At 43.1% G+C, this 15,111-nt stretch overlaps 1 long non-coding RNA gene across 1 annotated transcript; it reads left to right on the top strand.

Moving 5' to 3' along the window:
* Positions 1-639: 639 nt before the first annotated feature.
* Positions 640-12,506, top strand: LOC124904203 (uncharacterized). Its single transcript, XR_007066179.1, has 2 exons — positions 640-1,717; positions 11,952-12,506. It is a non-coding gene; the product is annotated as an uncharacterized LOC124904203 (long non-coding RNA).
* Positions 12,507-15,111: the final 2,605 nt, after the last annotated feature.

Below are 15,111 nucleotides of genomic sequence, written 5' to 3'. Positions count from 1 at the left end.
ACCTCAGAAGTCATATCACTTACTTTTGTGAAAGCAGTCAGTCACAAAGCCCACCCAGACTTAGGAGGAAGGAGAAATAGATCCATCTCTTAATGGAATACTAACAAGGTCACATTGCATAAGAGCATGTGGGAATGGGAATATTATTGAGGTCCTTTTTAGAAAATACAATCTGCCATAAGTTTTTTTTTTGTTTTTTTTGTTTTGTTTTGTTTTTTGTTTTTGTTTGTTTTTTTGAGATGGAGTCTCCCAGGCTGGAGTGCAGTGGTGCCATCTTGGCTCACTGCAAGCTCTGCCTACCGGGTTCACGCCATTCTCCTGCCTCAGCCTCCTGAGTAGCTGGGACTACAGGTGCCCGCCGCCACGCCCAGCTAATATTTTTGTATTTTTAGTAGAGACAGGGTTTCACCGTGTTCACCAGGATGGTCTCGATCTCCTGACCTTGTGATCCCCCCGCCTCGGCCTCCCAAAGTGCTCGGATTACAGGCGTGAGCCACTGCGCCCGGTTCTGGGATACATGTGCAGAATGTGCAGATTTGTTACATAGGTATACATGTGCCGTGGTGGTTTGCTGCACCCATCAACTTGTCATCTACATTAGGTATTTCTCCAAATGCTATCCCTCCTCTAGCCCCCAGCCCTGCCATAAGTTTCACACTCTTGCTATTATCTATATATCACAATAATATCCTTACATTAGACAAAGCAAAGCATTTTATAGGACTGTTGCCTGTAGTGTCCTTGAGTGTAGACCAATAAAATTGCACCAAAGAACAATTTAGTTAAAGCAATAAAAGCCATAAAAATCCCAAATTATATGAGCTAGGTAACTATTTTATGCTCTTATAGCTTTACTTAGGGGTATATTTTTAAAATCAGTATCAGTATTCTCCATATTGTATTCTAGTATTTTGAATACAAGTATTCTGATTGCTAGTAATAGGGCCCTATTTGAAAAAAAATAAATTAATAAAGGCATTCTATAAGTAGAGTTCTTTTTAGAAATCCTACATAGTTCACTCATTCTCACACTCCAACTACACCATAGACTTGAGTCAGCCAGTCAAAATATTTTAATATATAAAAGTTTGGAGAATTATTGCCATTCTAAAAAACACAAATCCAAATATTGAATTAGTTTAACGTAGTTTTGCTGCACCTTTTAAGACTCAGAACACTTTTTTTCCCTTAGGATACCAATTAAGATATGAGAGACCTCACAGAACACAGATCAGGAAAGATTAACATGATATAATACAGAATTTTCACACTCTTCAACCATCATCCATCCATAATTATTCACTTTATGATATGGTTTAGAAGTGTATCCCCTCCAAATCTCATGTTGCAACGTAATCTCCAATGTTAGAGGTGGAGCCTGGTGTAAGGTAATTAGGTCATGGGGGTGGATTCCTCATGAATGGTTTAGTGACATCCTCTTGATGATAGGTGAGCTCTTGCTCAGATAGTTCATGTGAGATCTGGTTGTTTAAAGGAACATGAAACCCACCCTGCCGCCCCCAGCCCTTGTTCTGCTCTTACTACATGATGCGCCTGTTCCTCCTTCACCTTCCACCATGATTAGAAGCTTCCCAAAGCCCTCACCAGCAGCAGATGCCAGCACCATGCATCTTGTATAGCCTGCAGAACCATGAACCAAAATAAACCACTTTTTGTCTCACGCGTTCGTGTGAAGAGACCACCAAACAGGCTTCGTGTGAGTAATAAAGCTGTTTATTTTACCTAGGTGCAGGCAGGCTGAGTCCAAAAAGAGAGTCAGCAAAGGGTGATGGGATTATCATTAGTTCTTACAGGTTTTGGGATAGACAGTGGAGTTAGGAGCAATGTTTTGTGGGCAGGGGGTGGATCTCACGAGTACATTCTCAAGGGTGGGGAGAATTACAAAGAACCTTCTTAAGGGTTGGGGAGATTACAAAGTACATTGATCAGTTAGGGTGGGGCAGAAACAAATCGCAGTGGTGGAATGTCATCAGTTAAGGCTATTTTCTTCTGTGGATCTTCAGTTGCTTCAGGCCATCTGGATGTATACATGCAAGTCACAGGGGATATGACGGCTTAGCTTGGGCTCAGAGGCCTGACATTCCTGTCTTCTTATATGACTAAGAAAAGCAAAACAAAATAGTGGTGAAGTGCTGGGTCAGCGAAAATTTTGGGGGGTGGGAGGGAGAGATAATTGGCGATGTCTCTCAGGGCTGCTTCAAGAGGGATTAGGGGCGATGTGGGAACCTAGAGTGGGAGATATTAAGCTGAAGGAAGATTTTGGGGTAAGGTGATATTGTGGGGTTGTTAGAAGGAACATTTGTCATACAGAATTATTGGTGATGGCCTGGATGCAGTTTTGTATGAATTGAGAAACTAAATGAAAGACACAAGGTCCAAATAAGAGAAGGAGAAAAATAGGTGTTAAAGGACTAAGAATTGGGAGCACCCAGGACGTCCAATTAGAGAGTGTCCAAGGGGGTTCAATGTTATTGTTTGCTTAGTTGGCGAGTTTTTGGGCTCTATCCTTGAGTTTTTTATGTTGTCATATACCAGGCCAGATTGATTTAGGTAAAAACAACACTCTTCATTTAAAAATATATACAGTCCTCCTTTTTCAGCAGTGAGTAAATCGAGGTCTCGGCGGTTCTGGAGGACAACTGCAGCTAAAGAGTCAACCTGGGCTTGGAGAACGATAAAGTTTGTGATATATTTGTAATGATAGCAGAGAAGTCATTAGAGAGGCTGCAGAATGTTGTGGCAGTGGTTGAGATGCCTGCTATTCCAGTTCCAAGTGCAATAGTGCAGGCAGAAAGTCCTAGACCCACAAGTAAAGGGACTAGTGGGATGACTCTTTTTTGTCATGTTGATGTCATGAGGGGGACAGGCAGTTGTTCATTCCCATCTGCAAACTGGATTTTGGGGGTAAGAAAAACTAGAGTACATGTGCCCATCCAGTTGGCAGGTAGGCACACATAGGTGGAAGAGCCACATAAAAAGAAGAGACCTTGTGTCAGGCAGAACTGGAAATGTAAAGTGAAAAGGTGAGAGGGTGTACTGAAAGAGGAATCCTACACCCAAAATCCTAGAGATCCAGCAAGGGCAGCAGCCATTAGAGGTTGTAATGGGGATTGATGGTGCAACTGCGTATAGCGAGGGGTTCAGTTTTCATGCTGTATGAGAAAGCACATAGTGTCTACAAGTAACCTTTCACTGCTATTTATGGGGCTGGGTATAAGAAAGCAAGAGGAAGGGCTAGGAGGAGATTCAGACGAGCAGCGGGAGGGTAGCCAAGGATGTAGTGAGATGCAGGGTAGGTGTCTTCCTGAACAATAGTGACTGCCAATGTTTTTTAGTTTGTCAGTAATGATAGAGGGCTTATCAGTAATGTGAAGTTGGAATGCTCCCATCTGTTTGGTAATGTGTGCGGCTGGGTTCTGGAGATAAAGAGTAAAGGAACATTTGGACAGTGGAAGGTTGCCTAAAGGGATTCCAGTAGGCTGTTGTTGGGAGATGCATAAAGGAATGGCAACAGGGATAGTTGTTTGTGTGGTTAGGGATCCAAATATGGGGCGGGTGAAACTGACATAAGGAGAAAGTTGCCGTAAGTAGATGCGGAAAAGTGTGGCAGCTTGTTGGTGTGAAATGTCTGGAGAGTTCTCACCAAATCTGTCTAGAAAGTAAAGAAGTTCCTCAGGCGGGTACAGATGAGGGCTATTAAAGGAGGTTCTGAGGTGTAGGGAGATGGGGCAGGTAGCCCAGTCAGCCTGTAGCGTGGGGATGGCTGTGTAAAAGCAGGAAGAAAGGGAAATGCATAGCCAACAACCCTTTGCTAGAGAAGGATTGGAGGCAGTGAGGAGAGAGTGGGTGAGATTGACAGCATGCTGGAGGTAACTAGGGAGAGGTAGAGAGTGGCATAAGAATGGGAATGAGAATAAGAGTGAGTAGAAAACTAAAGAATAGAACTTCATCAGGGTGGAAGTATTGGAGGATGCCCTACCACCAAAAATCATCTATCCACTCTAAGAGGGAGTCAAGAGTGGCGGTTTGGGGATAGCACCAGAAGATATCAGCTGTGATGTCTTGGAGGAACAATGTAAACCGGCAGTGTAAACAAGAGCAGGTCATTTATGAGTAGTTGAGAATGGTGAATAGGAGTATGACTAGACAGAATATAGTAGGAATGACAACTTTTTGGGGCGCAGTCTAAGTAGTGGGGGTGACTGTGTAAAGCCCTGTTGCAAAGAGTAGGGTAAGGATGGATAGACCTAATAGAATGAAGGGATGTATTAAGCTCATAAGGGTTCTTATTGTTCTTCAGAAATGTGAGTGAGTTTAAGGGAAGTAGGGGAGAGTACTTGCGACTTCCAGGAGGAAGAGGAGATATCAGTCTGGCTGGCTGACAGACACAGCTTTATCCTGGAATGGTGAACCCAGTGGGGAGGGTCCTATAGGTGGATAGTGGTTAGAGTACTATAGATGACTAAATAGGGTCCGGTTCATCGAGGTTGTAGAGTTTGAGGGGTCAGATTCTTAACAAGAACTGATCGTCCAGCTAGGGTGTCTTCCTGTGGCTGGGAATCTGGAGTAGGCAAGAGAAGATTAGCAGCAGGGCGAATTTCCTGTCTAGCCTGCTGGAGGACTGGAAGATAGTCTCCTAGAGGGCTGGTGTCTGGGATGAGGTTGGGGCCGAGTAAGAATGTGCGTCCATATAAAAGTTCAAAGGGACTGTACCCTGTAGCATCTCGAGGACAGGCTCTAATTCTGAGAAGGGCAAGAGGTAAAAAGTACTGTCCAGTCCTTTTTAAGTTGGAGGCTGAGCTTGGTGAAGTGTGTCTTTAAAAGACCATTAGTCCGTTCTACCTTTCCTGAAGATTGAGGACAATAAGGAGTATGAAGGTTCCACTGAATACCAAGAGCCTGAGAAACTGCTTGGGTGATTTGACTAATAAGGGCCAGTCCATTATTAGACTGTATAGAGGTGGGAAGGCCAAACTGAGGAATTATGTCTGACAGAAGGGAAGAAATGACCACAGTGGCCTTCTCAGACCCTGTGGGAAAGACCTCTACCCATCCAGTGAAAGTGTCTACCCAGACCAAGAGGTATTTTAGTTTCCTGACTTGGGGCATGTAAGTCAATTTGCCAGTCCTGGGCAGGGCAAATCCCTGAGCTTGATGTGTAGGAAAGGGAGGGGGCCTGAACAATCCATGAGGGGTAGGTAGTAGAATATCAGATGGAACACTGAAAAGTGATTTCCTTGAGGATAGATTTCCACGATGGAAAGGAAATGAGAGGTTCTAAGAGGCAGGCTAGCGGCTTGTAACCTACATGGAAGAGGTTGTGAAATGATGACAGAATAGAATGGGCCTGTGAGGCTGGAAGGAGATATTTTCCTTGGTCTAAGAACCATTTGCCTTGTGTGGGAAGAGATTGATAGGCAGAAGTTTCAGCAGGGGAGTAGGTGGGAGTGACCGATGAGAAAGAGAAAAACTGGCTGTGAGGGACAGAAGTTGGAATTCTAGCTGCTTCTTTAGCTACCTTATCAGCATACGTGTTGCCCTGAGCGATAGGATCTGATGCCTTTTGGTGGCCCTTGCAGTGAATGACTCCAGCTTCTTTTGGAAGTAAAGCAGCCTTGAGAAGAGTTTTTATTAAAGAGGCATTAATGATGGAGGACCCTTGCATAGTGAGGAAACCTCTTTCAGCCCATACAACAGCATGGTGGTGCAGGATATGGAAGGCATATTTAGAGTCAGTATAAATATTGATATGTAGTCCCTTTGCAAGGGTGAGGGCTGGAGTTAAGGCAATGAGTTCTGCTTGCTGAGAGGTAGTGGAGGCGGGCAGAGCAGTAGCCTCAATGATAGATGTGGAAGATACTATAGCATACCCTGCCTATGCTAGTGAGTGGCGATTAGGCCTGGTGGAACTGCCATCAATAAACCAAATGTGATCAGGGTGAGGAACAGGAAAGAAGGAAATATGGGAAAATGGGGTGAATGTCAGGTGGATCGCAGAGAAACAATCATGGGGTCAGGTGCAGTATCTGGAATAATGTGGGAGGCCAGACTGAAGTCTAGGACAGGAACAATGGTAATTGTGGGAGACTCAACAAAGAGTGAGTATAGTTGAAGGAGCCAGGGAGCAGAAAGTATATGTGTCAGGTGTGAGGAAGAAAATAGATTTTTGAAGTTATGAGAGCTGTAGAGAGTGAGTTGAGCATAGTTTGTGATTTTGAGGGCCTCTAAAAATATTAGGGCAGTGGCAGCCGCTGCATGGAGACATGATGGCCAGCCTAAAACAGTAAGGTCAAATTGTTTGGACAAAAAGGCTACAGGGCGTGGTCTTGGTCCTTGTGTAAGAATTCTGACTGCACAGCCCTGCGCTTCGGCTCTGTATAATGATAAGGGTTGGGATGAGTCAGAGAGAGTTAGTATGGGGGCAGTCTCTAAAGCTGTCTTCAAGGAATGGAAAGAGGAGTGGGGAAAGGATTTAGGATCTATGAGGTCAGCTAGGTTTCCTTTTGTGAGTTTATATAATGGTTTTGTTAGGATGGCAAAACCAGGTATCTAAAGTCAAAAGTATCCAACCATGCCTAGGAAGGAAAGGAGTTGTTGTTTATAGACGGTGTTGGGGTTTGAGAGGTCAGTTGGACACAATCGGCAGTGAGAGCACGTGTGTTTTCATGAAGAATTATGCCGAGGTAGGTAATGGATGGGGAAGAAATTTGAGCTTTTGAGGGGGATACCCAATATCCTTTGGAGAATAAATGTTGAAGAAGCAGGAGGGTGTCTTGTTGAGAAGATTCAAAGGAGGGGCTACAAAGTAGAAGGTCCTCAATATATTGAATAAGGTGAGAAGCGGAGAGGTGGAAAGAAAGTAAATCATGATAAACAGCTTGGCTGAAGTAATGAGGGCTGTCCCTGAAGACTTGCGGCAGCACAGCCCAGGTAAGCTGCTGGGACTGATGGGTGTCAGGGTCAGTCCAGGTAAAAGCAAAGAGAGGCTGGGATGAGGGGTGCAGGGGAACAGTGAAAAAAAGCATCTTTAAGGTCAAGAACGGAATAGTCAGCTGTGGAGGAAGGTATTGAGGACAAAAGAGTGTACGGGTTGGGCACTACAAGGTGGACAGGCAAAACAATTTGGTTGATAAGGCACAGATCCTGAATTAACCTGTAAGACTCGTCTGGTTTTTGGACAGGTAAAATGGGGGAATTGTAAGGATAATTTATAGGTTTTAGAAGCCCATGCTGTAAGAGGCGAGTGATAACAGGCTTTAATCCTTTTAAAGCATGCTGTGGGATGGGATACTGGCATTGAGCGGGGTAAGAGTGATTAGGTTTTAATGGGATGGTGATGGGCATGTGATCAGTTGCCAGGGAGGGAGTACAGATGTCCCATAGTTGTGGGTTAAGGTGGGGGGATATGACAGGAAGACACAAAGGAGGCTTTGGTTTGGGAAGAAGGGCAGCAATAAGATGTGGCTGTAGTCCAGGAATAGTCAGGGAAGCAGATAATTTGGTTAAAATGTCTCAGCCTAATAAGGGAACTGGGAAGGTAGCGATAACTAAAAAAGAATGCATAAAACAATGTTGTCCAAGTTGGCCCCAGAGTGGGGGAGTTTTAAGGGGTTTTGAAGCTTGGCCATCAATACCCACAAAAGTTATGGAGGCAAGGGAAACAGGCCCTTGAAAAGAAGGTAATGTGGAGTGGGTAGCCCCCATATCGATTAAACAGGGGAGGGACTTACCCTCCACTGTAAGAGTTACCCAAAGCTTGGCGTCCGTGATGGTCCAGGGGGCTTCCGAGGCGATCAGGCAGCATCAGTCTTCAGCCTCTAAGCTGAGCAGATCTGGGAAGGAGTTAGTCAGAGAGCCTTGGACCAGAGCTTTAGGGGCTCTAGGAGTGGCTGCCGGGTGAGCTGGACAGTCTGATTTCCAGTGGGTCCCTGCACAGGTGGGACATGGCTTGGGAGGAGTCCCGGGCTGCAGGCATTCCTTGGCCCAGTGGCCAGATTTCTGGCGCTTGAAGCAAGATCCTGATGGAGGAAGTCTTGTAAGAATGCTTGACTGCTGTAGCTTAGGTGTGTGCGGCTTAGGCATTTTGAAGTTCTTGTATGCTGGAGGTGCGGCTGGGTTTTGTCTCACAGCGGAGGCAAGTAATTGTAACTCGGAAATGCGTTGCTGTCTGGCTGCCTCCTCTCTATTATTGTACACCTTGAAGGCAAGGTTGATTAATTGCTGTTGTGGGGTCTGAGGGCTGGATTATAATTTTTGAAGTTTTTTCCTAATGTCAGGAGTGGATTGGGTGATAAAATGCATATTAAGAATAAGGCGGCCTTCTGGCCCCTCTGGATCTAGGGCAGTAAAGCATCTAAGGGTTGCTGCTAAGCGGGCCATGAGCTAGGCTCGGTTTTCATCTTTACCTTGGGTAGTTTCTTTAAGCTTGTCATAATTAACAGCTTTGTAAACTGCCTTTTTAAACCCTTCAACTAGGCAGGAAATCATGTAATCTCAACTAGCTATACCTGGGGAATCTGCCTGATAGTTCCATTGGGGATCCTCTTGGGGAACTGCTCTAATGCCTTCCTGGAGGTCTGGCTCATGGAGCTGGCAGTTGTCAGCATGAGATTGGGCTAGAGAAAAAACTCTTTCCTGTTCATCTGGGGAGAGGGTAGAAGTTAGGATGACATTTAAGTCACTCCAGGTTAAATTGTAGGATATCGGAATTCCTGTACATATTTAGTGGGGTCTGATGAGAAAGAACCTAAATGCTGGCTGATTTGGGAAAGGTCTGATAGAGAAAAAGGCACATGTACCCTGACTATGCCTTCAGCTCCAGCCACCTCTCTAAGAGAAAATTGTTGGGCAGGTTGGGGAGAGCTAGTCACAGAATGAAACTGTAAACAAGACTGGGTGTGGGGAGGGGAGGTAATAGAAGGGTTATAGGGTTGGGGAGCAGAGGCTGAAGAAGAGTTGGAGCCTGATTCAGCCTGGCGGGGAGCGACCTGAGGAGGAGCAGTCTGGGGAGGAGGTGAGAGGTCAGATTGGTCAGTATAAAAGGAAGATTCACGAGACTCAGCGACACTTGGGGTTGGGACTGAAGGGACAGGCGGGAGGGAAAGAAGGAGGATTTGGGATGAGTTGCATTGGGAACAGAGACTAGGGAGGAAACAAAGTGTGAAAAATGCCTGGATGTAAGGCACCTCAGACCAATTGCCCATTTTTCGACAAAAATTTCGTAAGATGGAGAAATCAAAAGTGCCTTTTTCTGGCCATTTAGAACCATTGTCGAGTTTGTATTGGGACCAAGCAGCGTTGCAGAAGAAAATAAGATGCTTAGATTTTAGGTCAGGCGAGAGTTGAAGAGGTTTTAAGTTCTTGAGAACACAGGCTAAGGGAGAAGAAGGAGGAATGGAGGGTGGAAGGTTGCCCATAGTGAAGGAGGCAAGTTTAAAGAGAAGGGTAGAGACATGGGAGAAGGGGTGGGGGGTGCTTGCCCCCCCGAAAAGTGGAGCTTGCTGCTAAGGATGAATGACCAAGGCAGGCATTCCCACATGATCAGACACCTCTGAAATGTGGGTGAATAATCAAGCAGGCATCCCCACAATGACTAAACACCAAGGGAAGGCTGCCTTCCTGAGTCTGTGACCGGCGCCGGAGTTTTGGGTCCACAGATAAAATGTGTCTCCTTTGTCTACCAGAAAATGAAAGGAATTGAAATTAAGAGAAGGGAGAGATTGAAGGGTGGTGCCAAGATTGAAAGGAGAAAGAGGTTGAGGGATAGTGAGAGAGGTTGGAGAAGAGAGTAAAAAGAGACTGCTTACCCAATTTAAAATAGGTGAGATGTTCCTTGGGCTGGTTGGTCTGAGGACCCGAGGTCATAGATAGATCTCTTCATGGAGTGAGGGTGAGGACAGGGGACTGGTCTCCCAAAGGAGTCCCGCTGACCCAGGTCTTTGGCACCAAATGTCTCACGTGTCCATGTGAAAAGACCACCAAACAGGCTTTGTGTGAGCAACAAGGCTGTTTATTTCACCTGGGTGCAGGCTGGCTGAGTCTGAAAAAGGAGTCAGCAAAGTGTGATGGGATTATCATTAGTTCTTATAGATTTTGGGGTAGATGGTGGAATTAGGAGCAATGTTTTGTGGACAAGGGGTGGATCGCACAAAGTACATTCTCAAGGGTGGGGAGAATTACAAAGAGCCTTCTTAAGGGTGGGGGAGATTACAAAGTACATTGATCAGTTAGGGTGGAGCAGAAACAAATCACAATGGTGGAATGTCATCAGTTAAGGCTATTTTCACTTCTTTTGTGGATCTTCAGTTGCTTCAGGCCGTCTGGATGTATACGTGCAGGTCACAAGGGATATGATGGCTTAGCTTGGGCTCAGAGGCCTGACACTTTTCTTTATAAATTACCCTGTCTCAAGTATTTCTTTATAGCAACACGTAAACAGATTAACACAGAAAATTAATACTGAGGAGTGGGGCATTGCTATAAAGATATCTGAAAATGTGGAAGCAGCTTTGGAACTGGGTAATGGGCAGAGGGTGGAAGAATTTGGAGGTCTCAAAAGAATACAGGAAGACAAGGGAAAGTTTGGAACTTCTTAGAGACTTTTTAAGGGGTTGTAACCAAAATGCTAATAGAAATATTGACAGTGAAGGCCAGGCTGACAAGGTCTCAGACGGAAGTGAGAACTTTATTGGAAACTATAGTAGAGGTCACCTGTGTTATGCTGTAGCAAAGAACTTGGCTGCATTGTGTCCATGTCCTAGGGATCTGTAGAAGTTTGAACTTAAGAGTGATAACTTAGGGAATCCGGTGGAAGAAATTTCTAAGGAGCAAAGCATTCAAGATGTGGCCTGGCTACTTCTAGCAGCCTATGATCAGATACTGAAGCAAAGAAATAACTTACAGTTGGAACTTAAATTTAAAAGGGTAGCAGAGGGTGAATGTTTGAAGGATTTGCAGCCTAGCTATGTGGTAAAGAAAGAAAAAAGCATTTTCAGGAGAGCAATACAAGCAGGCTATGGAACGATCACTAGCTGTAGAGATTAGCATGATTAAAAGGGAGCTAGAGTGCTAATATCCAAGACAATGGAAAAGGTTTCAGAGGCATTTCAGAGATATTGAAGCCAGCCCCTCCTATCACAGGCCCAGAGGCCTAAAAGGGAAGAATGGTTTCAGGAGACAGGCCCAGGGCCCTGTTGTCCTGCTCAGCCTCAAGACACTGTTTCCTGAACCCTGGCTAGTCTAACTCCAGCCACAGCTCAAAGGGCCCCAGACAGTTCAGGCCACTACTCCAGAGGGCACAAGCCCTAAGCCTTGGCAGCTTCCACATGGCATGAAATTTGTAGGTGCACAAATGCAAGCATGAAGGAGGCCTGGTAGCTTCCCTGTAGATTTCAAAGAATGTATGAAAAAGTCTGGGTGCCCAGACAGAAGCCTGCCACAGGGGCATAACCCTCACAGAGAGCCTCTACTAGAGCAGTACAGAGGAGAAATGTAGCGTTGGAGCCCCCAAACAGAGTCCCCACTGGGATACTGCCTAGTGGAGCTGCAGGAAATGGGCTGCAACCCTCAGACCCAAGAAAGGTAGAAACACCAGTACCTTGCACTCTTAGCCTGGAAAAGTCACAGGCACCATACTCCAACCTATGAAAGCAGCCATGGGGGCTACACCCTGCAAAGCTAAAGGGGCAGAGCTGCGCAGGTCCTTGGGAGCCTACCCCTTGCATAAATGTTCCCTGGATGCAAGACATGAAGTGAAAGAATAGTATTTTGGAGATTTAAGATTTAATGATCACTCTGCCTGGCTTCAGACTTGTTTGGGGCCTACTGACCCTTTATTTGGCCTATTTCTCCCTTTTGGAATGGGAATGTCTAGTCAATGAGTATACCATCATTATATCTTGGAAGTAAATAACATAGTTTTCATTTTACAGGCTCATATGTGGAAGGAGTCTCATGGAGCACACAGGCTCATGTGTGCTGAGATGAAACTTTGGACTTTGGACTTTTCATTGATGCTGGAATGAGTTAAGATTTGGGGAAACTATTGAGAAGGGATGATTGTTCTTTTCACAATGGAAGAAAAGCATGAGGTTTGAGGAGCAAGCCAGAGGTAGAATTATGTGGTTTAGATGTCTATTGCCTCCAAATCTCATGTTGAAATGTAACCCCCAATGTTGGAGGAGGGTCTTGTGGGAGGTGATTGGATTATGGAGGTGGATCCTTCATAAACGGCTTAACATCCCCTTGGTGGTAAGTGAGTTCTTTCTCAGTTAACTCATGTGATATCTAGTTGTTGAAAAGAGTATGGAACCTCCCCACACCTCCATCTCTTGCTCCTGCTCTCATTATGTGATATGCCTGCTCCTTCTTCTTCTGTCATGACTGGAAGCTTCCTGAGGCCTCAACAAAAGCAGATACCAGCATCACAATTCCTGTACAGCCAGAAGAAACATGTGCCAAAATAAACCACTTTTCCTTATAAATTATCCAGTCTCAGGTATTCTTTTATAGCAATACAAGAACCAAGAATGGACTAAGACATGCCAAAAGATGGGTTGTTGAGAAATAGTGAGTAGTATTTGACTTGAGAATAAACTGAAAGCCAAGTATCATCTGGATGTGAAATAATATTCCTTTGCATTCAATTAATCAAGGAATATAGCTCTTTTGTAATGCTGGCAAAAGATGACTTAGTAGCTTTTTGAAGAATCCTTAACCAAAGAACATAACAAATGATTGTGTGATTGAGAGCCCAGAGTTCTATTCCTTATATGTAGCATAGTGGGAAAAATTCAGTTAAAATCTTGCCCTACTCAATATACAGACAAACATCAAGCTTGATGAACTTTTACAAATAAACTGATCTTACTATTATATTCAAGGTTGTAAATCTAGTCAGTGTTAAAACCTACAAATGTTTTTCTTTCATTCACTTAATAACTTTAAAAATAGTTTCAAGTATAGAACATGAATATTTAGTTCTCCAAAAAAACTATAAATCTAAACTTTAAAGGAACACATTTTCTTCTTATAAAATGGCAAACAAATTATTTTTATGTTATTTTAAATTATATTTACTATTTTAACTATAATAATTGTACAAGACTGGTAATAGTATAATGTTTTCTAAACAAATGTGAATTAGCTAATGTTCAGTAAAGTAAATGAATACATACTCAAATATTATTAAAGTTACGTAATTGTATACAATTTTGGCACTGCTGTAGGCAGCTGTTATTTAAAGAATAGTATTTCAACATAGTAGTCTAGCCAAAAATAAGACAATTATTTAATATCAGAAAAATTAGGAAGAAAAGTTTATAAATATAAGAAATGTATTTTTAAATTTGACATATTTAGTGAGACTAAAAGATCTGTCACATAAACTATGTCATACTTTCTCTTTCCGTGACAACTAAGTCAAAGCCTATGACCCAAAACAGGTTATACACTAAGACTAAATTTCATGTAGGTCAGATTTAGTTGTAGAATGTTTTAACACAAAATGACTGACTCAAAATCTGCATGCAGCCCCTGATATTAAAGAAGTCTTGTATCCCTGCTTCACTATGATGGTGTACAAAGAAAAAAGGGAAATGATGTTTAAGAGAAAATGGATTTATGAATTAGGAAATAAGAGAACCTTTAAATAAAGGCAGTTTTCAGGGATGCCTCCCCTGAAGCTACACAAAATTGGAAAGGCATCTACCGAATCTTAAAACAGCATTCAATGATATCTTTTAGTCTACTCTTTTAATGGATGATTTGTATGCAACACTTCCAAGTGAGATGAGAGTATTGCAGACTACTGAAACAGACATAATCACCCTGCTGACCCAGCAGGGGCGGCTTGAGAATAGGGGAAGAGTGAAAAATCCTGTTTTTCTCTGAAACCACCTGAGAAAAACAGCCTATGAACATTGCACACATTATCATGTAGCTTCAGCCATAGCTTATGCCTCTCATTTTTAAAGGGAAAATAACCACCATCAAAAAATTAGCCTGCCTCCTTCAGATTAATTAGGCTAACCATCTCTGATCCTAATATGCTAAATCTCAAAGTAAGTGGTGATTGCCTTTTGGTGGCACTACAGGCACTAAAAGGCTTGACATGAAGACAGAATTATTTTGGTTTTAGTTTAACTAGTTTTCAAGAGGTGACATTTAAAAAGCATTGTAAGCTATTGGAAACCAATGAGGAGGCCACAGTCATTTCAAAACATGCACACACAAAAATTATCATTTTATAAGTGATGAATAACTTTATAGAATAGCTAACCCTTATTGGTAGAACATATCTGTGAGGTAAAGACTATGTGTGAGGGTCTTCACATTCCTACAATATGAGAGATAAACAACATCCTATTAAGATACACATATAAAAATGGAGAAAGCCTTACACAACTAAGAGGCCTAATTACAAAAATTGGCCAATTTTAATAGTTTTCTTATTAAAAACTTTGTGTTACTAAGTATTTAAATATAATTTATTTTCTGATAGAAAATAAGACAGTAAAATTTTGTAAAATCTCAAAGTATTTTTTTGTTTTTTGAGACAGAGTCTCACTCTGTCACCCAGGCTGGAGTTCAGTGGCAGCCATCTCTGCTCACTGCAACCTCTGCCTCCCAGGTTCAAGGGATTTTTGTGCTTCATCTACCAAGTAGCTGGGATTACATGTGCGCACCACCACACTGGGATAATTTTTGTGTTTTTGATAGAGGCGGGGTTTCACTATTTTGGCCAGGCTATTCTCAAACTCATGGCCTCAAGCGATCTGCCCTTCTTGGCCTCCCAAAGTGCTGGGATTACGGGCATGAGCCACTACACCCTGCCAAAGTGTGTATTTTTGAACACCAGTATCATAATTATCACTCATATTTAAATTCAATTTTATGATATTTAAAATTCACACAATTTTTTTTCTTACATTATGTGTTATCTAGTAAAGAGTTAACCTTGCCCAAAGAAAAGTCTGAACTTTTCCTTCAACTACTGGGATCTATACATCCCTAGAATGTCTTATCTGGCAAGAGAGACTTTGTTGACTTGGGGATTTTGGCCATGGTACAATGTAACAATGTAATTTCTGG

This window comes from Homo sapiens, chromosome 1 (assembly GCF_000001405.40).
Source record: "Homo sapiens chromosome 1, GRCh38.p14 Primary Assembly".
Taxonomy (NCBI): Eukaryota; Metazoa; Chordata; class Mammalia; order Primates; family Hominidae; genus Homo; species Homo sapiens.
The sequence above is the reverse complement of the archived record's forward strand: the minus strand, read 5'-3'. Positions and strand labels throughout refer to the sequence as shown.